The sequence below is a fragment of the Homo sapiens genome, chromosome 15 (assembly GCF_000001405.40).
Source record: "Homo sapiens chromosome 15, GRCh38.p14 Primary Assembly".
NCBI classification, from domain to species: domain Eukaryota; kingdom Metazoa; phylum Chordata; class Mammalia; order Primates; family Hominidae; genus Homo; species Homo sapiens.
In genome coordinates this window covers 99,758,267-99,784,498 of record NC_000015.10, presented here as the reverse complement: position 1 = coordinate 99,784,498, position 26,232 = coordinate 99,758,267, and the positions used below count along the sequence as shown (strand labels likewise).

Sequence of the window (26,232 nt, the reverse complement as noted above, 5' to 3'; positions counted from 1 at the left end):
TATTTATGACAAAGAAAGCCATTGCTCACAAAGTATTGGGTTTGCCTTTGAAGCGGTATCAGGAGATCATTGACAAAAGGCAGGGCTGAGATTAGATGTTGAGGGTCATTGCCTTGCTATAGTCCCAAAGCTATGTGAAATGTCAGCTAATTGAAAATGGTAATTATTCTAAATAACAGCACAAACTGTTTCTTTCTAGGATATGTGTTGCTTTCAAATTAATAGCCACTGATCTGTTTTTTTTTGTTTTTTTGTTTTTTTTCCACAATCTTTCCCTGTCCTTTTGTCAAATTATCTAGCCATCGGTCCTTGGGACAAAACCCGTTGCACCATTTATATTGACCATGGTTTAATGAGTGACCTGGTCTTCCTGTTTGCATAGATTGTAATAGGCCCACCCACCTGAGAGTCTGTCAGCCAGACTGAGATGTGTAACCTCTATGTATAACTTAGTTTCTAAGTGGAAAGACTTTAAAATGGAAACCAAGTAATTGTGTTACAGTGGCCATTTGCATTTATTTCAGATACTGGTCGGGAGAAGTCCTATTAATCACAGTCATAATAGATCTTCAAATTATGACCTACTGAGCAAGGTCATCCCGTATGAGATGAATAATATATATTCAAAATGTTCAGCTTGCTTCTAATGGGCAGTACTTCATACCAAATGTTTTTGAGGGAAATATGTATGGTATAATTTTTCAGACAAAGAATTAAAATTCCTAGTTGTGATGGTTAAAAAAAAACCCTCTAAAGTGGAAATTAGAAATACATATTCTCCATAGCTATAAAATGAACTACAAGTACACTTTGATTCTGTAAAATTGAGTTACTTTGGAAAATATTTCAGAGTAACCTAATCCCAAATCAAGACTCTCTTTTGGAATTGGTAGACAACCCAAAAATACTTGGGCTTGATCTGTTTCAACAAAGTGAAGAAGACAGGAAGAGTATGAGAAATTATTCAAATATATTCAGAAAAAATATCTGCTGAGGTTGGAAGACTACTATACAGTGATTACAGAAAAGTTATGTTCCGTCCGTAGATCAAGCCTTGCCACAAAATCATCAAACCAATGTTCTTTATGAGTGTGAAGGAAATGAGTACCTGTCTTTCTAATTGTAGTAAAAATAGTACCATTAGTGCTTCTCTTTTTTTTTTTTTTTTTTTGAGATGGAGTCTTGCTGTGTTGCCCAGGCTGGAGTGCAGTGGCGCGATCTCGGCTCACTGCAAGCTCCGCCTCCCGGGTTCACGCCATTCTCCTGCCTCAGCCTCCCGAGTAGCTGGGACTACAGGCAACTGCCACCATGCCCTGCTAGTTTTTTGCATTTTTAGTAGAGACGGGGTTTCACCGTGTTAGCCAGGATCGTCTCAATCTCCTGATCTCGTGATCTGCCCACCTCGACCTCCCAAAGTGCTAGGATTACAGGTGTGAGCCACCATGCCAGGCCAACTTTATTTTTAACTAGTAAATTGTAACCAGGAAGTATACTCACAAACTGTGGAGGCAAGGACACAGGAACAAATGTAGCATTGAAAATAAACAGTAGAAGATAGTGAATCTGACACATTTAATAACGAGCAAATGCTGTTGTGTTCCACAATATTTAGGCACACCTATGCAAAAAATCATTTCAGGAAACCACGGCTTTACATCTTAGGAAGCAAAAGTGGAGGGAAAGGGTTGGCAGTGAAGAACAACTTGTTCACATGCCTTGTTAAAGCAATTCCACATAATCTTATTCCATTTCAAACCAAGACTGTTTAGAATCTTACGTCCTGTTGCCACAAGAACTGAGCTCAATACTTTAGAATCCTAAGCCCAATATCTGAGAGTGGGTGAAGGTATTTTTGGAAGAACCCAGGCATGTATCTATAGGACCTTAGTAAACCTCCTGTTTTGCATAATTCTCTCCTGCCTCCCCAGTCTGTCTGAGGGCTATGCTTTCTTTCTCCTCTCCTAAGTGAAGGTAATTGACTGATGCTTAATTGTTATTTCTTTCTAAAATTCATAACATAAAATGAGGGCATTAGGTTTCTTCCTTGAAAATCTTGTGTTTTTATAATAAAAGTAGCTCTAGCCAAAACCTGCCCCATGTAAAAAAGTATCTGTTAACAATTACAAAAATAGGCATATGCATCTGTTTTTTAAACTCAATGAAGTCCCAGAAATCTTTTTAGTGCTCTGATACCTTGTAATAAAGGACCTCTAGAGGTTACTGAAATGAAAGCATGCAGAGTTACTGTAGCGGTATGTTGTTACAGGGGAAAAGAAAACCAGCAGCCATTCACTGTACAGCCTACATTGCTGTAACCGGTGTTGCCCAGTAAACTATCTGGCATGCAAAATGCTAAGTATTCAAAGTACCTGGCATTCATGATCATTGTGATAGCAAACTGTTGACATTTGGTTTATTTCCCAAAGCCGGACCATTCGTACTTCTCTTAAATATTTTGGCTTTAGAGCTTTGTTGTTGATACAGATAATGTATCTCCTTGTTGCCCTGTTTCCCTTCTTGCTGCCCTGCATTTAGCTGCAATTTGCTTTAATGGAGTCATCCCCATGATCATGGAGAATTTGTTCAGTATTTTGATGTTTAGCTTTCATCTCATTTTGGATCGTTTATCTTGATAATTAACATTATTGCATGAAGACCCAGTTGAGAAAAAATATTCTGTAGGAAATTCATTCTTTAATAGTTAATATAAGCCTTCACATGCTGAGTGTCAAAACCTGCAATTCCTCTTGATCCTTAAAAGGCTTGTAAATAAAGACAGTTCAGTTGAAGAAACTATACTGTTAAAGTCAAATATTTTTGGAAATCAGCTTTGAGTCTTGGGGATTTAGAAATTTACGAAAACGATCTGACTCCCAGCAAGCTCTAAATAAACCATAACTATTTGATGGGATAATTGAAAGAGAGCCTCCCATCACAGTGATCACTATCTGCAAAAGTGATAACTCACTAAAAACTTATGTCTCACTTTGTAATAACTTAATATCACAGTGGTAATTTCTAATCAATAAACTGGAATATAATCAGATTGGGGAATATGTAAATCTATATCAGTCCAGTGAAACCTACCAGCAGGGAGAGAAAAGATAAAAATGTAAAAATCAGATTGAATTTTGGGGGAAAGCTGACAAGAAATGCAGTTATGCCTCTGCTGCCATACTCAGCATGGGACATAAAGAGCCCCACCACAGGGCTTGAATTTACAGGAGTCTGTCCAGCACAGCTTTATCCGACACTGAAGCTTCCTAACAAACAGAAAGAAATCTTATACTCTTGCTTGTTGGTATTTAATACCTGCATTATGTGCTTTTTAATTTTTTGGTCCTACTAAAGAGTAGCTGATAGCGCTGTTTCGAAGGCATATCTACTCTGCCTCTGACTAGCAATAGGAAACCGGTTAAGTTATTCAACCTCTCTACATTTCAGTTTCAGGAAATGAAGTGGACAAAGAAGATCATCATTAGGCAATATGTACCTCCAATATTCTGTATTATGTGGAGATATCAAGTCCGTATGTGATTACACAAATCCTAGTTCCAAAAGAGTTCAGAATGAGACACATAGAATTGAAAGTCCTATTTATACAGATACTGGTTAAAGCCCAGGGATTAGATGGGTTTAAAATGCTTTACCTCTATATAGAAAGGAGTACAGGACCAGGAAAGGGCCCAGGGGCATACCATGATTGAGCCGAGGAGACAGTAAGAGAGTTTCAGTGACAAAGGAGATGCAAGGAGACGATGGGGTTTCTGAAACCAGGAGAAGAAAGCCTTCATCATAGAAGCAAGTGATAAACTTCACTGAACACTTCTAAGACATTTCGGACAAGAATAGAAGAGCGACCTTTGGATTTCACTGCACATAGCTTAACAAACGTTCATAAAGGCAGTGAAAACGGAAGCTCGGTTAGGGTGGTCTTAGGAGAGAATCCAGGTGATGACGTAGAGAATGCGACTATAGATGGCTCTCTCTAGAAGTTTTACTTTTAAGGGTAGCAGAGAACTAGAGTAGAGCTGCAGACATAGTTCCCCCTCCTCCCTCTCCTCCATCTCCAGTTTCTTCTTCTTTCCATGAGTGTAACAGAATGAAATTTAGGGCATAATCCTGTAGAAGGTAAGAAATTAATGATGCAGGAAAGAGACTGGATAAGTGTCCAAAATAAATAAGTCCTCAGACGATGCAAGGCAGTGGGCTCTAGCACACAAAGGGGCTGACATCTGATAGGAATGTAGTTGTTTTATCCACATAACAGTTATTTTTTTAGAGAAAAATCTAATTGTGAAAATATAGCTGAAAACCAAACATTACCCCTATGTGTGTGGTAACTTGTGATGTAAAATGCATTTCTCAATAAAGGTCCTGGTCATAAATTTTAAAAGTAAAATACCTTGAGGGAGCTACAGTTAGAGGACAGCAGGATGAAGGATAATCATCAGAAAGAATACAAAGTGGGCCAGGCATGGTGGTTCATGCCTGTAAACCCAGAGCTTTAGGAGGTGTTGTTGGGAGGATCACTTGAAGTCAGGAGTTTGAGACCAGCCTGGGCAACCTAGACCCCCATCTCTACAAAAATAATAATTAAAAAAAGACTACAGAGTAGAAAAAGCAGAGTGAAACAGAATCTTCAATACAAACAGTAGGGGGATTTTAGCAAAGAGTAGCTGACTTAGATGGTGCTAAGATTTGTATGGAGTTCAGTGCTGAGAAGTCTTTTTAACAAGTGATTTAAATGGGAATATTGCCTTGTTTACATAGCTCAAATAAAATGCAGTATAATGTGCAGAAAACAAAAAAAAACAGTAAAAAGCTTAAATAATCTTTATTCTTAGGACAATGTTTTTCAAATAAGGATTATGGCTCACTATTGGGTCATAACATAAAATACGTGTCTTATTGTGGATGGCTCCAAGAAAAAGAAAACCCAAGTTTAAGCAGGCTCACCAATAGAGAGTTTACCTATGTCATATAAGAAGTCCCAGTTATACATCCACTAGTAATAGCTCCATGGCCAGGTACATGCTAGTATTTGCATTTTGGAACGGTCTTTCTCTCCCGTTTGTTGTCTCATGGTCACAAGATGACCGATTATCCCAGGCCTCACGTTTACATTCGAAGACTAAAAACCACTGTGGTGAGTAGGAAATGCCCCCCCACAGAGATGACTCCCAAGCCCTCATTCCCAGACCTGTGACTGTGTTGCCTTACATTGCAGATGTACTCCGCAGATGTGATTAAATTAAGGAGCTCGACATGAAGGGATTAACCTGTCTTATCTGGTTGAGTTCAATGGAATCATAAGAGTCGAGTGAGCCAGGAGATTCAGATAGGGAGGTGTGACCATGGAAGCAGAATGATGTGGAGTGAGAAAGACTCACCTAGCGATTGCTCGTTATAAAGATGGAAGGGTATCACGAGCCAAGACACGTGAGTGGCCTCTTGAAGTTGGAAAAGGCAAAGGAACAGGTTCTCCGCTGGAACATCCAGATGATTTCACTCACTGGGTTCTACTTCAGGCTTCTGACCTCCAGAACTGTAAGGTCACTAATTTTTGTATTATTTTAAGACACCAAGCTTGTAGTAATTTGTAATAGCAGCAATGGGAAACTAACAAACATGTATGGGCAAAAAGGGGAAAAGAATCGTGCCAGTTGAGTTTGTCACTTTCTATCTGGAAAGCAAAAACCTTCAGAGAAACCCTACTGAGCTTTCACTTGCTTATATCCCCCTTTCCAGAATTAGGCTGCATGACCACTCTGAACCAACCACAAACAAAAAGAATTCAATTGTCATGGCACTGTTCAATTAGACAATCACAGTTCACCCCTTGGAGCTGAGACAGGGTATCATTTCCTTTCTAAGATCTACTGAACTCTCATTAGCTGGAAAAAAAATCAAATCCTACTGGAATAGAAGAAGGGGGTTGAAGACAAGTGGATTTTTAATACCTAGCTGATGTTGGGAGGCTAAGTATAAAAAGATATTCTGATGTTGGGTGTGTAGCAGATTGTGCCTGACACACTGCCCCATATTCTTTCCACTAACAAGTCTCATTGTTTTCTTTCAAAAATACATTTCAAATTTGTCTTATATCCACATGTCCACAACCACCATTCTCTTTTAATCTAACAACATCCCTCTTTTGAATTACTTAAATGACCAGTTAATTCACCTCCTAGAAACTGTTTTGCTTCCCACTCACCCTTATCTTATTTTTTTCCATTAGGCAGCCAGAAGAAACTCCTAAAAAATTAACTTATCCATTCTCTGCTTTTTATATTACCTAACCACTTCTTGTTGAAGTTAGGATTAAGCTCAAAATCCTTAAGTGAATTACCTCTTTTCCAACATTGCTGGAAGAGTAAAAGGTTCCTTAACAACATTCTTCTTTCCAGTTTTGGCCAGGTTTTTTTTCCCCCTGAAGTACCACTTTTTATATAATTAAAATTCAGTTTATGCACCAATTTGAATGAATACTTGATAAATGTCTCTACTTCTAAATTATAACTTCCATTAGAGCGGAAGTCAGGTACACTTTTACCCACTATTGTATTGCACTTAAACTAGAACTGCTGCTGAGTGAGTGAAAAATTAATCAATAAAACAAGAGCAAACAGTTCTCATCCTCAAGAACATTCTAATTCAGTAGGAAGAAAGAATGAGTAACTACAGTTGTGCCTAGCTTAATGATGGGGATACTGTATTAGTCTGTTCTCACGCTGCTAATAAAGATATATCTGAGACTGGGTAATTTATAAAGGAAAGAGGTTTAATGGACTCATAGTTCCACATGTTTGGGGAGGCCTCACAATCATGGCAGAAGGCAAAGGCACATCTTACATGGCAGCAGGCAAGAGAAGCTTTTGCAGGGGAACTCCCATTTACAAAACCACCAGATCTCCTGAGACTTATTTACTATCACAAGAATAGTATGGGGGAAACCTCCCTCATGATTCCATTATCTCCACCTGGCCCTGCCTTTGGCTTGTGGGGATTATTACAATTCAAGGTGAGATTTGGGTGAGGACACAGCCCAACCATACCAGACACATTGTGAGAAATGCATGTTTCTGTGATTTCATAATTGTGTGAACATCATGGGCAGACTTACACCAACCTAGATGATATACAGGCCGCTCCCCACCTAAGGCTCCATGGTGGAGCCTTTTGTCCTCAGGCTACAAACCTGTATGGCAGGTTACTGTACTGAATAGTGTAGGCAACTGTAACACAATGGTAAGTATTTGTGTCTCTAAATATAGAGAAGATACTGCAAAAATACAGTGTAAAAGATAAAAAATGGTACCTTATAGGGAAATTACCATGAATGGAGTTTTCAGGCCAAAAAGTTGCTGTGGGTGAGTCAGTGAGTGGTGAGTGAACGTGAAGGCCTAGAACACTATTGTATACTACTGCAGACTTTATAAATACTGTACACTTAGAATACCCTACAATTATTGAAAATATTTCTTTTTCTTTAATAATAAATTTACCTTAGCTTACTGTAACTTTTTACTTTATAATTTTGTTTTTTTAAACATTTTGACTCTTCTATAATAAATGTAGCTTAAAACACATTGTACTGTTATACACGATTTTTTTGTTGTTATATTCTTATTCTATAAGCTTTTATCTACTTTTTTTTTTTTTGAGGTGGAGTCTCTCTGTTGCCGAGGCTGGATGGCAGTGGCACGTTCTCGGCTCACCGCAAGCTCCGCCTCCCGAGTTCATGCAGTTTTCCTGCCTCAGCCTCCAGAGTAGCTGGGACCACAGGCGCCCACCACCACGCCCGGCTAATTTTTTTGTTTTTGTGTTTTTAGTAGAGACGGGGTTTCACCGTGTTAGCCAGGATGGTCTGGATCTCCTGACCTCGTGATCTGCCCGCCTCGGCCTCTCAAAGTGCTGGGATTACAGGCGTGAGCCCCCGCACCAGGCCACGTCTTTAAAAAAAAAAACATTAGCCGGGCGTGGTGGGGACGCCTGTAATCCCCGCTACTCGGGAGGCCGAGGCGGGCGGATCACAAGGTCAGGAGATCGAGACCATCCTGGCTAACACGGTGAAACCCTGTCTCTACTAAAAAATACAAAAAATTAGCCAGGCGTGGTGGCGGGCACCTGTAGTCCCAGCTACTCGGGAGGCTGAGGCAGGAGAAGGGCGTGAACCCGGGAGGCGGAGCTCGCAGTGAGCCGAGATCGCACCACCGCACTCCAGCCTGGGCGACAGAGCGAGACTCCGTCTCAAAAACAAACAAGCAAACAAAGAAACAAACTTAGTGAAACAAAAATTCATCCCCAAAACTATTTACTTGAAAAACACTAGTAAATAAATAATAAATTGTTTTTCAAATATAAACAAGACAGAAATAAAGGAGATGCTATTACTATGAGGAAAGAGGAAAATGATACAACTAAAGATAAAATAGATAAAACATTATATAAAATGTTAAATAAAATTTTATTCATATACATTTGAAAATTTGATAGATTATATATATTTGATAAGTCAATAAAATTAATGTATATGTGTATATGAAGTTACAAGGCAAAGTAATTTGAATAGATGAGATCTGTTAAATCTACAATTAATGGATAATTTTTTGTTTTCTTTACAACTTCATAACCTCCTGTAAGTTTTTAGAAAGTTTATTTTTTCTCTATGTTCTGGCACTGTTTAAAATCCAGAAGTGGGAAATAGGGAGTTACTGCTAATTGGTACAAGGTTTATTTTTTAAGACTATAAAAATATTCTAAAAATAGATTATGGTGGTATTTGCACAACTGTATTAACATACTAAAAACATGAAATGGTACACTAAACATGTGAACATCATGGAATGTAAATTATATCCCAATAAAACTGAAAGAAGATACATACACATTATCTGTCTCTACCAAATTCTCACTATGAACATATATGTAAATACTAGATAGTACTACCAACTCAACAGCAGCAATTTATTGATAGAATAAGACATCCTGACTAAATAGAGTTTATCTCAGGAAAGCAAGCAATGATGAACTTTAGAAATCCTCATGGAAATATACTTAAAACAATATTTAAATGATATTCTGAAAGATATCTAAAATTACTTAGCAAAAGCAAATGTAAATGTCCATTCTTTATTTGATAATGAAACATTTAACTCAATTTAGAATAAAAGGAAATGACTTAATCTTATAAACATATGCAGCAAAAACCTACTTAATTAAAAAAAGGACAAATTTTAATAAAGTCAGAAATGAAGAAATGATTTACCATTACCATTGAAAATGTCCTCTGTTTATACAAATACAATTATATAATGTAATTATATATCTTACATTACATATATAATGTAACTATATCTTACATTACATATATAATGTAACTATATCTTACATTACATATATAATGTAATCTTACATTATATATATAATGTAATTATATATCTTACATTATATAATTATACATTATATAATTTTATTTGTATAAACAGAGAACATTTTCAATGGTAACAGTAAACCAATTCTTCATTTCCAACTTTATTAAAATTTGTCCTTTAAGTAGGTTTTTGTTGCATATGTTTATAAGATTATATATAATAATACATATATACTGTAAGATATATAATTAATAAAGATATAAATATATATCTTACCGTATATAATTAATTGTATAATGTAAGATAAAGTAAATGCATATAATTTATTTTTAATTTTAATTTAAAATTAGACATATAAGAATATGGGCTTTTAGAATGAAAGCACATATTGGATAAAACATAAACAATATATGAATATATAAACTTATACATTAATACAATACATATATTTAATAAATGTTAAATATATATATTACATATATATTCCATATACTAGCAAAATACATCTGCTACATGGGTTGCATCCTTGACTTAGTGAAATCTATTAGAGTAATAAATTAGAGTGCAGCCAAGAAGAAGGAGAGTATTAAGTCTGTAACCTTACAAGTAGGAAATGTATTTCATATACAAGTGTATACTATAGTGGAGAACATGAAGAATAATATAAGTAATCTTCCTGGGCTGTGACTGAATCACTTTCAGTAACTTTATTTGATTTTGTGAATGCATAGATACTTTTATACTCCTCTTTATTTCCTGTAAATTGAGTATTTGGAATTTATATGGGGCAATAAATAATATGATTGGGTATCTGTTTTGTTTTTGTTTTCTAATGGTGGTAAAGTATCTCCTGCTTTTGCTTTTTGCAAGTATTCGAGGAAGATTGTAATGAATCTACATTCACACTATCACCCTGTAAAGCAATGTATACATCTGCCAACTTATTAAACAAAATTTGTGTGATCTAGTTTTAACTTTGTTTTAAATGCAGGAGACTAAACATTTAGAAATAGTTTATTAATAATTCAGATATCTGAATAGTCTGGACTTTTAAAAATATTTTTCTACTAGAGTACTAGTCTTTTCCTTTTGACTTGCAAATATTATTTTTATATTTGTCGACATTTTCTTTATTTTTAAGTGTAATTTTAGAAAAAGTCTTTGATGAGAGATTTATTAATATCCATTATGTAACAGGCAGGATATAGAGACCTAAGGTACACAGTTGCAATCTTCAATAAACTTACAGAATGTCAGTTAATGCACACATGAAAACATCCAGTCTTAATATTAATGTGGTAGGTGCTCTTTCATAACAAGCGAAAGCTGCCAGAGAGCAAAGACAAGCGTTTAACCACATTTTTTAATGTAGTATTTTTTCTTTCTTTCTAAAATTACCTTCTTAGAAAGCCATTGCCCATCCAGAGAGTAATTAAATATGTACTAACCTTTTGTTATAGATCATCACGTATTCTTACAACGGTGTTAATCATCTTTCATTGTATTGCACTGTGGTCTGAAATGTCATCTGTACAATTTCTGCTCTTTTGAATGTGCTGAGATAGTCTATGTATCATAGTCTGGTATATAAGCGTTTTTTAAAGAGTATCACCTATAAACAGGAGAGGAAAAGAGTTTCTCATTGCCAGCTCTAAAACAAGAGAGAAGGAAAGGAGAGACACAGGGAATGTTTTAATCTTTGCAACAGTCATCAGAGATCAGATAACAGGACTGACTACTCTCGATGTTTGTTTTTTTGTTCTTAGCACAATTTTAAGATCTCTGAGAGGAAAAAAAAAGGACGGGGGCGATCTTGTGGAGGGATATAGTGCTTTCCTAGCCCCTTTTGATGAACCAAGTCTGTCTTTTTTGTCATGTAAGTCTAAATAGACGACCAATTGTTTCTCTCAATCCAGCTCAATCAGTGACAGCGTCAAAATTTTTGCAGATTTTGAAAAATTTGTTTTTCTGTCTTACCATGTTGATGTGGTTAAAGTTTGATTTTTTGAAAAGCTATGTAGATTCTTTAGTAGGGGTTTGGGAAGGGCACTGGTAGGCCTTTTTACAAGACCAAACTTTCTATAAGAAGCCCAAATGCACATTATAGAAAGTAAATTAGATAATACTTTACCCTAATTGGAATTTCATTGTCTTAAAATAAAATGTAAACACCTTGTATAGCATAGAAATACATTTTAAAGCCCCTGGCATAGTTTCAAACACATTTTTAAACTTTTTCATGAATTGCAGTCAATCCTCAAACCCAGATAATTATTTTCAGTTGCTAACAACTCTGTTTTCCTCATCCTTCAGTCAAATCTAACATTTATTGAACAGCTACTCTGTGTCAGAGACAAGTACCATATAAGGGGCTGGTAATGTACAGGTGCATAAGTCATAGTTCTGAATGCCTAACTTCCACTAATGATTGTAAACTGGCTCAGGAATCACATCCTGGGGCAAGCCTGCACAGAGTCACCCTCAATCAGCACTTAGGCTCACCTGGATTATGGCAATCGTCACATGGTACTATGCTTGTTTGCTCTCAGAGGACTGGGACTCCACATCTCCAGGGTCTGGAACAGTGCCTGGAATATCAGAAAATGTTCCTTGACATTTAATAGAGACTGTATTTGAGAAATAAAATTACATACTATATCCAGATGAAAAAGGAAATGATAAATATAAAGAGTTTGGAGTTCATGAGAGCAACAAGATGGGATCCAAGGTACTAAAAGAAGATTTAAGGCCGGGAGCAGTGGCTCACACCTGTAATCCCAGCACTTTGGGAGGCCAAGGTGGGCGGATCACGAGGTCAGGAGATCCAGACCCTCCTGGCTAACACAGTGAAACCCCATCTCTACTAAAAATACAGAAAATTAGCCGGGCGTGGTGGCGGGTGCCTGTAGTCCCAGCTACTTGCGAGGCTGAGGCAGGAGAATGGCGTGAACCTGGAGGCGGAGCTCGCAGTGAGCTGAGATGGCATCACTGCACTCCAGCCTGGGCGAGAGAGAGAGACTCTGTCTCAAAAAAATAAATAAATAAAATAAAGAAAGAAGATTTACGTACATCATCAAGAAACAGGTAACTGGAAAATCAAGAGAAGATTAACACCAGCAATGGAAATATTTGAGAAAAGATAACTGCTATTTAGAGATCTGTGGCATAATTGGTAGTAAATCAAGCACACAGGACTTCAGGAAAGCTGATAAAGATAATCCTTTCAATTAAAGGAAGCTATACTTTTATATAGACTTGGTCTATAAATGCAATACATAAATTACAATATCTCAATGTTCTTCATTCTTTAAAGTTAATTTATGCATTTTCTAATAAAAGAAATTAACATATGCAAATGACATATCTCAGGGTTGGTTATTTTTTAATCTTTTTCAAAAAAAGTTACACAAAAGTGCACATAACTGCATAAAATATTAACCAATGCCATCCAAGTATTATATGTGTTTGTGCAGTTATTATCCTAGTCAAAATGATACAAGGGTTTATTTATTCATGAATTCAGTAAGGTAGTTTTCTCAGTTGGGGTTATGTTTGTTATATATGCACCATTGTAAAAACATGGTTTCTTGAAAACCTTCGATGTCTCTGAAATCAGAATATCACTGGGGTAAGCAGGGAAGATATATATATATATATATATATATATATATATATATATATATATGTAAGCAGGGAAGATATATATATATATATTTAAGTGTTACAGGTGATTCTTCTGTACACTTCTTAAGATTGTAGATATAAGACTTAGAAAACAAAGAAAACTCTGTTGCTAACCCTTGGAACATAGAACAACATTATTATTTAGCACACATAGTAATAGAAAAAAACATAAAACAAATACCTGAATAAATATTGATATCTTCTCACCACATGCAGGCAGCGGTATACTAAACCCCCGGAAAGTCTTAGAGCTTCTTGTGATCCTGGTGCTGTGAAGTCCGCATGGCAGAGTTCCCTTCTGACACATCAGATTTCTAGAAAGTGTTTTTCAGGCATGATCAGCAGGGAGCAAGCATCAAAAAATACTCTTACAGTAACAGTATTCTGGTCCATTGGACATTCTGTCTAAAAGACTAGGACCTCCTCTTTCAACTCCTGCTCAGCCAGCAAGAGAACAAGGCTTACCCTTGGTGCTTGGCTTATTTCCCCTCAGAACTACAGGAGCATACATTACCCGGCAACAGAAGAAAGTGAAAGGGACAACTTTAACACGATGTCTTTAAGGAAGTGGAAACTCTTTAGATTTAATAGAAAAGCATACAATGCAATGATGAAAGAGGTGAGCTAAAAATACATGTATAAGTAACGGTACATCAGCCTCTGGACAGCTACCCTGACTTCTGTCAGATGCTCTTTGTAGTGTGTGTGTGTGTGTGTGTGTGTGTGTGTGTGTGTGTGTGTATGTCTGTGTGTTGGCGGGGCGGGGGGCGGGGGGGTTGGGGCAAGTGTACTATTTTCTGCATACTATGATGTTCTGACATCTTAAAAATCCTTTCTAGCTAAGGAGAGACTGTCCCTTCTGCAGCTACTCAATTCTTAGAGATAGAAGGGCCTAGCCAGCCAGGAGCACACCTTTCATTTGCAAGTGAACCAATCCAGAGCCAGCCCTCCCCTATCTGGCTCTTACACTCCAACAGGCAATATTCTTTTGCCTGAATCATTCAGGTCCAGGTACCAGGTGACTAAGGACCACCCTGTTGCTTAGAGCCCACTAAAATTATTCAAACTAGCTAATCCTAAGCTGATCACCCTGCCTTACCTTGTCAGGGAGAAACTCAAACAAAGGTTCGGCCTAAACTTTCCCCTTGCTCTTGTCTTTTGTCTTCTGACTAACCTGGTGTTTTTTTCCACATGGTCCCATGTGGTATCTCATGTCTACTGTCTACAGGGCCTGTGAGCACAGTAAAGTTTGTTTCTGGAGCCTCTCCACGGCCTCCTCATATAACCACATCTGACTATCACACGAAAGAACATGAAACACTCTCTGTCCCCTTTCTTCAGGCACCCAAGAGTTCAGCATTAATTTCAAAAATGCAAGCGGAAAAGGCTCTGGATCCATTTATTTTTCTACTGCCTTTTTCCACAGTATATCACTTTATAGCAGGGATTCCTGACCTTTTTGTTTGTTACCCAGAATGTGACCTTACTGGCATAAATGAAGGACAATTATTAAGTAAACCAATTATCTTAAATATTGTTAGCAAAATATAAACAAATCGTGATATAACCTATATTTATTTTTTCAACATATGAAATGATAAAATCTATTAGTAAGTGTCAGAACTACTTTGATTACAAAATATTGATGTGTATATGATATACTGAGATAACTGCAAATAACTATGATATGAGAATATTGGATTTCTACTGGTGACAACGTCACAGAACCTTATACAACAATTGTGGTTTTTGGCCTACAAGGTCTGCTGCATGATTTCTGCCAACACCAATACTGCAAATCAATATGGCCCCTACCTCACACATATTTCCAGGTCCCACTCTTTTTAATAAGCAGATAAACCAGAGAGTCTCTGAATGGGCCGAAGCAGAAAGAGTTAAGATTTGTGATTCTCTGTCACATTAATGTTGGCAGTGGAAGTAGTGAGAGAAGGAGATGGGTAAATGGAACGAGTCTAGAACATAATGGTTCTCTGTATCACTGGCATATACACTGGCAACATCACTCATAGAGGAGACTCCATACCAGGCAAAAGGTGGAAAGATCCCAGTTTAGAAACAGTCTCACCTTATTTTACACATGAAATCTTCCTTCTGCCTCAGAGAATTAAAATGATTTCCCTGGCTGCTGGGAAATGCCACTCTTAAACAAGGCAAAGGAAAGATGTGTCCGTTTTTTTGTTCTGTTTTTTTTTTTCTGAGACTGAGTCTCACTCTGTCACTCAGGCTGGAGTGCGGTGGCGCGATCTCGGCTCACTGCAAGCTCCGCCTCCCAGGTTCACGCCCTTCTCCTGCCTCAGCCTCCCGAGTAGCTGGGACTACAGGCGCCCACCACCACGCCCGGCTAATTTTTTGTATTCTTAGTAGAGACGGGGTTTCACCAAGTTAGCCAGGATGGTCTCGACCTCGTGATCCGCACGCCTCGGCCTCCCAAAGTGCTGGGATTACAGGCATGAGCCACCGTGCCCAGCTGATGTGTCCATTTTATAGTGAACCTTTAGACAGGAAAAGGCCAACTCTCCTCAATGAGTATAAATGTTAGAGAAGTAAAGACTACATATATATACACACATATATGTATATATAAAAAATATATATACTATATAGAGAGTATATGTATAGTATATATATAAAAAATATACTATATAGAGAGTATATGTATAGTATATATATAGTATAGTGTATATAGAGTATATATAGTATATATAGTATATTTACTATATATACACTATATTAGTATATATAAGTACATATACTATATATACAGTATGTGTATATATTATATATACTACATATACAGTATATGTATATATAATATATACTACATATACAGCATATGTATATATATTATATATACTACATATATAGTGTATGTGTATATATATTATATATATACATCCCATCCTCACAGCCATGTCATAAAGGATACGAGAGTAGGCAATGTCTACGGTACCAAAGTACAATTCCAAATTTCTGAAGTACATTCAAAATAAAATACAATATAATTTATGCAGGTAAAGCTTTGTGATTCAGACCACATTTGTGGAAAGAGCATTGCTTTCGAGACATGACCTTGGCTGGTTATCCATGGGACTAGCCATAGTGAAGTCCTTCGTTAGTGAAGTAATAGTGTAACATAATATGCACGATCTACTGTATTTTTCAACATACTCAAAGCAATTTTCTCATTTCAGTAAGTTATGCAGCATTTATTTAGCTATGATCATTATATTACTTGCCAAGATAATGTAAATATGAAGAATACCTAACAGGTATTTTAATTAAACATTTTGTAATTTTAAGTCAATAAAAGCAATGTAGGCAGTGGTTGAGCAGGTGGTCTCTGGCTCAACATCCCCTCTCCGCCATTTGCCAAAGAAGTGAACTTGAACAAGTCACTTAAACGCTCGATGCCTTAGTTTCTTCTACGTAAAATGAAATGATCCCAACAGAACCTGTCTCCTGAACATACTGTAAATATCGAATGGTTAACTGTATGATACAGTTAAAAAAATACCTGGCATATAGTAAGCACTATACAAATGTCATTTATTCATTTCCACACATGCTCATAAATAAACTCCTAGATTTCTGTAAAATGTGTAACTGTGCAGTGTTATCACTATTACCAGCCAAGCTTCTCTTCTGTCTCTACAACTGACTTAGTAAAGTTGTCTTCACATTAGAAAGGTTGCCTTACATTATTTTATTATGAAAGAAAGTTTAAAAGAAAGAAGGTTTGGAGTTTTTGTGGTAGGAGAGCAGCTACTTTTATATAGTTCAGTAAATCAATCTGTGCTGCTGAGCGTGAGCCTCAGAGGAGATAAACTTGGGGATGATTAGAAAGGAAAGAAGAATGCACTGGTGAATAACATTATCCAAACTGACTGTTGTGACTGAAGAGATCAACTCATTAGATAAATATCTTCTCTTTCCTGATATCTGTTTCTTTATATGACTATAAACTATCATTTTAGAGACCCACTTTATACAGTAGCTGATGTGTTGCCCAGTTTAAGAAGGCAGTTTTAGCCTCCAATAGGAATTCAGAAATAACTATAATTCTTCACTGTGCCTTCAAAGAACATTTAAAATAAGGTCCAGACGTATAACACAGCAAGAGTTATCAAGATTGGTTCTCACCTCCTCACCAGCTCTCCAGCTCTCAGCAATTCCACAAGCCTCGGAAAATCTCTTATGAATGTCACCCTTACCCTGTGCATTTTTCACCCAGGTACACCACTTCCTTCTTGTGTCATTCCCTCAATAAGTCGGCTCTTGCCAGGAAGTTTGTGTTCTCCTTCCACCATATTCTCTCCACTCTCAGTCCTTTTCGTGCCTGTTCACCTCACACAGGCCCTCCAGCTCTACCACCTACAAGGTTGAATGGTGAAGTGGAAGCCGTTCGTGGGCACTGAGATGGCAAAGAATTATCTTTTGTATCATTTTCTGTAAAAGGGAGGAGGTAGATTCCTGGTTTCTTAATGTCTCTTCAAACTCTGAAATACTCTGTCTGTTAATAACCAGAGAATTTGACCTTCTAAAACACAATGAAGAGGACCCTATGTGGGCTCCTCTTCCTTTCACTTCGTTGTTTCTTCAGTGTGCTGAAATCATCCTTATTTCGTCACAGGTCTGGGGGCTAGATTCCAGTCCAAGGGAATGACATATTTTCAGATAACTATTCTTAGGTTTTATAAAAGTGAGTAAAGTTATCAAAAACAGTAACACACCTTGTTTGTCTTTTATGCCTACAAAATGGCACCGTACATTAAAACCATGGCATTTATACTATGAGTTTAAATATATCTGGGGACTGCTTTTTTTGAGTGAAAACAAAAGATTTTGCTGAACGGTAAACCATCATATTATGTACCCTAGCAGGGTAGCATAACACAAGGGAAGCTTCAAAGCCCAAGATGGTTCACTGATTACCAACTCAATAACACTGTATAATAGCAAGAAGAAAATAAAAGATTTCTAAATACTAAATTCCTCCACTCCAATCTGGTGACGGGCAGGTACCAAGCAATATCATTTATCTATAGCGGTCTTAAATTCTTAAAGACCCGGAATATAGCCAGTAACAGTCATGCAATTATTTGCTTTCTGTTTCTTGCTGTATTTCATCTATAAAGTCTATAAGATCACTTAGCTTTTTGGAATTAATATGTCCATGCAAATGTCTCACGTAAAATAAAATAGGATATCATGATACTAAACAGGGTTTAAAAAAGAGCCCCTCTCCCCAAAAAGCATTTTATGTTAATTGTTCTATCTAAGCTTTTTATCTAATAGTTTTTAAAAGAAACATAATAGATGACTAAATATAAGAAGAGTTCCAAAGGCCATTTTCTATTTGAATCTTTCACATTTATTTAAATGCAGTTTTCTGTTTAATTTTAACTTGCATGAAATACAATTTATGTTGAAAAGGACTTGATCAATGTGTTCTTTCTTAGCTTGTACAAAGAAATTATGAATATATGCTAGACTACCTACACTGTTTACGGCCAGTGTTTTAATAACATATACTGGTCTGTGTTAACAAATATAGAAAAACTAACATTTTATCAAACGACAAAGTAAGATAGAAGATGTATTCTGGGTTCCATTTTAGTGAGTGAAAAACTGATTATTCAATCTGAAGTGGCAAATAGGATTAAGTTATTTTATTAGAAGAATGTTACATTTATCACTGTGTTTAATTGATTGTGGTGATCTGACATAAGTTTTTCTCTGACATCACCGTTTAATTTCAGTTAATTAAAGTATTGTTATTACAGTCTTGCTACATCCTAAGCACTTTCATTCATTTATGCAACATATCGCTTGTGGATCTAGAAATTTAACTCCGAAGAAAACAGTCTGGGGTGGGCTTCGTCATCATCCATCAATTACTCATCAACGTTTCATTATTTCCAACTACTATGCACTTAATTATTTTTTTAAAAAAAAAGAGGAATTAAGATACATCCCAGTTATAGAAAAAAGTCTTGGATTTTTACTGTGCTATTGCCAAGTATATAGAAAGAAATAATTCAAGACGTAAAACATTATTCTATATCTTTAAAATAAAAGCGGTCATCAGATAAAATATGCTTTAAACATGTGAGCCGACATATGCCTTCCAGGGCTAGTAGTTCAAATGATCACTTAGCAAGTAATAATTCCCATTTCTGCAGGTAAATGGAACCCAAAGCAACCAATTTTTCCCTGTGTCAATAGGATTTGCCTGGATCCGTCTGTGAAACAAGAGATTCTAAGTCATCAGTGTCCTAGATAATGAAATTACACACTTGGAGTTTTTCTATTGCTTTATTCACTAGCCTAATGAAGATGGAGATATTAAAGACAGTTGTCCATGTGCTTTGTGTGGATGTTTTAATGCAATATGGCTAGCCCCACTGTTATTATTTTTGTGTCTATTTTTCCTGCTTCATTTTATTTTTTGCTGTTTCATTAATTAATTACTTTAAAATTTCAATTTCTATTTTAAATTCAGGGGATACATATACAGGTTTGTTACGTGGGTATATTGTAGGACATTGAAGTTGGGGATACAAATGTTACCGTCACCCAGGTAGTGAGCAGAGTACCCAATGGGTAGTTTTTCAGTCCTTGTTCCCCTTCTTCTCTCCTCCCTCTAGCAGACCCCACTGTCTATTGTTCCCATCTTTATGGTTATGTGTACTTAAGGCTTAGCTCACACTGGCAAGTGAGAACACGTGGTATTTGTTTCTCTGTTCCTGCATTAATTTGCTTAGGATAATGGCCTCCAGCTAGCACTATTATTTTGAGGCTAACTTACTTCAGATAGAATTGGTTTAAATCCAAATAAAAGATGTTATTCTTTTCTTATCCTAATCAGAAAATTTTAGGAAATAATCAGATAAATTTTACAACTGGCAAATCAAAGGGAGAACTGCATTAAACACCCAGATGTAAAAGGTGTGACACCTCTTCTACTCCTCTTGTATTCACTTTTAGGCAAGAAAAGCAGGATTTTTCTGTAAGGTAAAATATGCACTCATTTCCTTTTTAAGACTCATAAGCCATTCTGGAGAAAGTATTTGTAAACTAAGCATAATTTTGCCTGAAATAGCAAGCTTTAAAGGAATACGTAAATATTTTAATGGAAAATAAATTTTGAAGGAAATCAATACATTTCTACATAAGTTTTCCAAAACAGGTTATATATTATTCTACTGAAGGAAAAAGAAATGAACATTTATTGCGTGATTACACCACTCCAGGCACTTTCACCTTGGTTTCTTTATTTCTTCTCTTAAAGATTAGTTTTCTAAGTTCTATCTTGTTAAACAAAGGAACTGAATCAAAGTGGTTACAATCTCCGTCCAGGGTCATGCAAATAAAAACCTGCCAACCTAACCTCAAGGCCATAGTTCTTCCCCTTGGATGACACTGTCTCATATATAGCTTTTTTTCAGTGCTATAAAGTGTGGTGAGCAAGGGTTCTTAGGGCTTTGCAGTTACAGTCAAAATAAAGAGTTAAAAACTTTCAGTAAAGTTGCCCTATCTCTCAGACTAAGACCACAAGATTTTTCCATTAATTAAGAAACTTAGAGCACAGTTGTAAAAAAAAAAAATCATAACAGTATATATTTACATTTTACTGCAATTAAATATGTAGAAATTTACATTCATTTGCCACACTTATGACTAAAGCAAGTGATTTTTTTGTTTTTTTTAGAATGGGCCTATTGATTGAAGTTTCACTTCATTTTTTGTTTTATATAAAGGAAATACATTTCTCTTTCAAGTTCTTTTTTTTAAAGATTTTTTAAAGCAATGAGTCCACATTTTTTTACCCTTCTATTTAGAATTGTGTTTCTCATTCCTAATTTGACATGAACTTTTTAGTGATCAACATTTAGTAGATATTACAATGTATTCTATACATTGTTTATGAAGTCAAATTTGTTTTTGTCAAGTCATTTTAATAAATTAAATTATATAATCACAATATAAAATACAAACTGATTAGGAAATAACTATAATTCAACTAATGGGATCAGAGGTCTTCTTCAGTTTAGAACATATTATCATTTAATCTCAAGAGGCGTGTCTCACATCACTAAACGTCCTATACACTATTGAAATACTGATTTTCCAAGTAGAATTTATTGACAGTTCAGCGGGAAGATGATGCTATGCTCAGAAATTGTTGAGTAGCTATCAACTTAGAAATCGGCACCCATCATCTTCTCATGAGTAAACATCAAAATGTTTGGAGATATACACAACTTGATTTAAGAGAATATTGTTTCCAATATCTCAAATTACCTTTTAATATTTTTAAAGCTAAAGGAATCACATGAAGACAAGGAGATTGAATAGAGGAATATTGAAAATAAGCTGATGCAGCCAATTCATTACATCATGGCCCACGGGTTTTCAGGGCCCCAAGAGAGTTGAAAGTTTCAAAAGTATTGATCCTGGCCCTTGAAAAGGCTAATGGATTTTAAGTCAGTCCAGCCATTAGCAAATAAATGGAATTTTCCTTAAACATATTTTAGCTTTTTCTTGATTTTCATGATAATCTGGCTCTAGTGTTATGGTTTGGTCTTCTGCAGTAACAGACTAAATAACAAATCCACCAATGCTCCAGTGTATTCTGTGTCCTCACCTGGAAGGTAAGAATTTGTTCTTCAGTTGTATTGCTGCATTTTGATCCCACCTTCCAATTCCCAATCAGAAAAGCCAAACTGCAAGAGCTAAATATCACAATGCCAAAAATGTAAATATGTAAATAAGAATGTTGAAGAGATTACCAAATTTGTCAAACTTATTCTATTTCATTCTGAGTTTAGGTTTTTTGCTTTTTTGCTATTGTTGACCTAGAGGATGATAACATATAACAAATATTTGATGACACATTAAAATTCTTCATGACTGAACTTTAAGATCTAGTATATTAGCAAAACTTTCAGGGAGTGTTTGATGCCATCCACAAATACAGCTGTCATAGAAGCTGATAAATCTTGACACTTGGCTGCTTCTTGTTTGAAAGGATGAGGAGGTCTTTACCCACATCAAGTATTCACACCAAATGGACGCTTATTTCCTTAAAGGCCATGTGAAAATCCACTCTTTCAGTTTTGTTCCCAGTGCTAAAAATTTCCCGAGGCCGGCTGGCGCGGTGGCTCACACCTGTCATCCCAGCACGTTGGTAGGCCGAGGCGGGTGGATCACGAGGTCAGGAGACTGAGACCATCCTGGCTAACGCGGTGAAACCCCGTCTCTACTAAAAATACAAAAATTAGCCGGGCGTGGTGGGGGGCGCCTGTAGTCCCAGCTACTCGGGAGGCTGAGGCAGGAGAATGGCGTGAACCCAGGAGGCGGAACTTGCAGGGAGCCGAGATCGTGCCACTGCACTCCAGCCTGGGGACAGAGCAAGACTCCGTCTCAAAAAATAAAACAAAAATAAAATGAAATAAATTTCTCGAGGTCAAAATTTCCTAAAGATTTGATGATATATAAAATACTTTTGGCATTGTCTGCTTCAACTTGTGCATAGAAAACCCATGATCTTTACCCTGTTCTTCAGCATTTGTAGGCAAAGGGGAATTTATCACTTTTATCACATAATTGGTACTGTAATGACCCAGTTAGACACGAGATTTCACAGGCTGATAATATGATTGCTGGCTGTGGTGGACAGAATAATGCCTCCTCCCCAAAGATGTCCATATTCTAATCCTAGAAACTATGAATATGTTCAGTTACATGATCAAGTGGAATTCAGGTTGTAAATGGCATTAATGCTGTGGATCAACTGATGGTAGAATGGGGAGATTATCCTGGATTAATTGAATGGGCCTAATGTAACCGAAAGGAGCATTAAAAGTCAAAAAGTAAGAAGTCAGTATCATAGTGATGAGATGTGTGAAATACAGGACTCTCAGATACTAGAAGAAGGCGCCCAGCAGCCAAGGAAAGGGGTCAGCCTCTAGAAGCTGAAAAGACAAGAACATGAATTTTCCCGTAGAGCTTCCAGGGGAAACACAGCACTGTTGGTGTTTTGCTTTTAGTCCAGTGAGGCCTGTGTCGGCCTCGTGATCTACAGAGCTGTAAGGTATTAAAATTGTTATTGTTTAAGCCACTAAGTTTGTGGCATGGCAGCCCTATAAAACTAATACACTGGTTTCTTGGCATTTCTTAATTCAGCCCAAATGATTTAAAGGAATGATAATGAAAGGAAGAAAAAGCCTAGAAATGGAAAAAGAAATATTCAAGTTATTGGCTGAGCAATGGAGACTAACAGAGTGTTTAGTTTAGTTTGTTATAATATTGGCTGAGCACAGTGGCTCACGCTCATATCCCAGCACTCTGAAAGGCTGAGGCAGGAGAATCGCACGAGGCCAGAAGTTTGAGACCAGCCTGAGCCATGTAGTGAGACTCCATCTCTAAAAAAGAAGAAATAAATGTTCAAGTTACGACTAATATTTATTACCAATGCAAATAATATTTTGCCTATTAAAATTGAAATTGGAAAAAACAATGTGTTAACCAATCTGTTCAAACTAATTTCAAAATACCATGAGAAAATTCTAAGTATGCCTGCTTGACAGTTCACCGTACTGAACTGAAAATGGAATATTCTTTGCACAAAACTAAAAGAAAAAAAAAACAAATTTAAAACTATAAGTAAAAAAGACAATTAGATTTAGTATTGCTCAGCATGGCAGAATACTTTTTTTTTTGTCCAGTGTCAATTTATGACAAGGATATTTCCAGCTTGGTTTGTTTAAAATATATTTGTACCAACAGAATATTTAGTTTGTTGTAACATTCCCATTTAGGTCTCTAAGTTTCACAATGTCTTAATACAACAATTTTTATTTTACTGACAACACTTCATTTGTTTTGAATAAATATATGATGATACTGATGATAACATGCATTTGTGTGCTTACGACTGTGCGTTCATGATAATATCACTAAGGGCTGGCCCTGTACTAAGTGCTTTATAAACATTAGTTCATTTCGTCCTCGTAGGAAATCAGTGAACACAATGTTACTATTAATCCCACTTTAGAACTAGGAAAATCAAGGCAGAGAGAGGTTATTTGCCCAACATCCAGCAGCAAGCAAGTGGTGGGACCAGGAAGGTATGTACTGTCTCTGCTCTCCCTCTAGGTCAGGCATATTCTATACTACACGTCTCATACGCATTGTTTCAATGAATGCTCACAGTGTCCTCCTGTAGGTGCTACTGTTAACTCCTTTGCAAAGGAGGAAATTGAGGCTTCAAGAGGCGAAGTGACTTGCTCTAATCACTGTGTTCCACCATATTTTATTCCACCAAATAAGCCCTTGTGTTCTATGTTACATTATTCTAACGGCACGCCAGGATCTAACTGTACTAGTTACACAGCTAGAACCTAATATGGTTATTCAAAGAGGAGCTCATGAGCAACCCAACCTTTGCCTCATCTTAGAAGTCTTGATGGTGAGAAATAAAATTGCAGCCACTAAATGTGGGTCTTGGGAACAGCAGAGGATGTCATCAAACACACCCGAACACCTGGCTAGAATGAACAGGGACCAGGACAGAGACAATATTACCCTCTCCCCTAACAAAGCAAAACTAAACTCTGTTTTGCAAGTCCAGTGCACCAGGATTATAAACGTCAGGAAATAGAATTTTAATGCCACTGTACACCTGCAAGAAATTGGCCTTTTCCTTAAAAAAAATCTAAGACACATTAGTGTTTTAAAAATGGATTTATATTGCTTACTTTGATTATGAACTGATATAGCACAGAACTATCAGGAGCCTGGCTCCTTTTAAAATATAGACAGTTACACTGTGTTCTTTCCTTCCTATAATCACTTTATGATCAAATGCAGAATATTTCAGTCTGCAATTTCCAATTTAATTCTTGTCCTCATTTGAGCTATTAAACTGGACTCCATTTCAGCAGTAACTGAGCTGACACTCAATCCTCTATTACTAATGACTGTATACAGCCATCTGCTTGAATGATTTTCACCATATGTGCTTAAAGAAAGACAATGTTTTTACATGCTTGCTGTAGGTAATACTTGAAAATCATAAAAGAAGAGCAAAATCAGAGTCAGCTGTAAAATTGCAAGGAAAAATGAAAATCCTAAAAATATGTTTGAAATCCCAAGAGTTAATATCAGTGCATTTTCTATAATTTCTAAGTCAATTCAAGTACAATTTGAAGATATTAGTTCCCAAACTGAAAAGAAAAAATTCATCACAGGTCATGATCTGTGATTAACATTTTAAAAAATTTAGATTAACATTTAAAAAATTATTCTGATCAAGTCAATTATGATTTGAGATAATTTTTTATTTTCAGTTTACTAAAAGGGTTTTTAAATAATTTCCCTGGCCATGCAGAATTTAGTTTGCTTCCTCCAAAACATTTTAGTAACATATAAGTAAAGATTATTTAATTTAAACCTTTTAGCAGATATTGTTCTGTAACTCAAATACAAATAAATTTTCTTATTTCTGGTTAAAGATTTATTTCACTTAGTTTATATAATTAACCTTCAATTAATTAATGTTATTAATATTGTGATATGTTTACATGTAAAAAATGGTGAGATTAAGTCCAAAAAAGTGGATATGGAGGAAAACCCACATACAACCAACACAGCAGACCTACCAGACATTCAAAAGAAAGTATGTCTGAATTGAAATTTAACTACAATTATGCCTGTTAATATTATTTTTATAATTGATATCTATGTGATGGCACCTTTACCTGCATTGCTAGAGTGGATCCTCACGACAGCCACATGAAGTGCTGAGTTCAAATATCATCTTAATTTTACCAATATGGAAACCGACGCTCTGCGCAATAAGCAAATTGCCCAAAGCCACGTAGCTGGTGAGTGACTGCTCCATGTTTCTCTCCTCCTTCTTTTGATTCTAAGTTCCAGGCCCTTCTCACCAAGACTTACTGCCATCTCTGTTGACTCTCATGTCTAACATAGTTTCGGAGACATCCCCAGCGCTAAATGTTCCCTTGGGGAAATATGCAATCGGTTGTTGCACACATGATTTGAGAGGGGGCTAGTTTTGTCCATTCCTGAAAACTTGGGAGGGGCATACAAACAGCCGAGGCGAGGACTCTGAGAATGATTAGAC

At 36.4% G+C, this 26,232-nt stretch overlaps 1 long non-coding RNA gene across 1 annotated transcript, besides 1 other annotated feature; it reads right to left on the bottom strand.

The window, feature by feature from the left end:
* Positions 1 to 9,855: 9,855 nt before the first annotated feature.
* LOC105371020 (uncharacterized) lies at positions 9,856 to 13,657 on the bottom strand. The gene is made up of 3 exons (XR_001751712.1): positions 13,243 to 13,657; positions 11,880 to 11,965; positions 9,856 to 10,989 (listed from the first exon to the last, which is right to left on the bottom strand). It is a non-coding gene; the product is annotated as an uncharacterized LOC105371020 (long non-coding RNA).
* Positions 24,249 to 24,449: a silencer, noted in NCBI's record as "peak2450 fragment used in MPRA reporter construct". NCBI's record gives its function as "represses an SCP1 promoter by STARR-seq MPRAs in K562 erythroleukemia cells {active_cell/tissue: K562}" and the evidence as "EXISTENCE:reporter gene assay evidence [ECO:0000049][PMID:32103011]".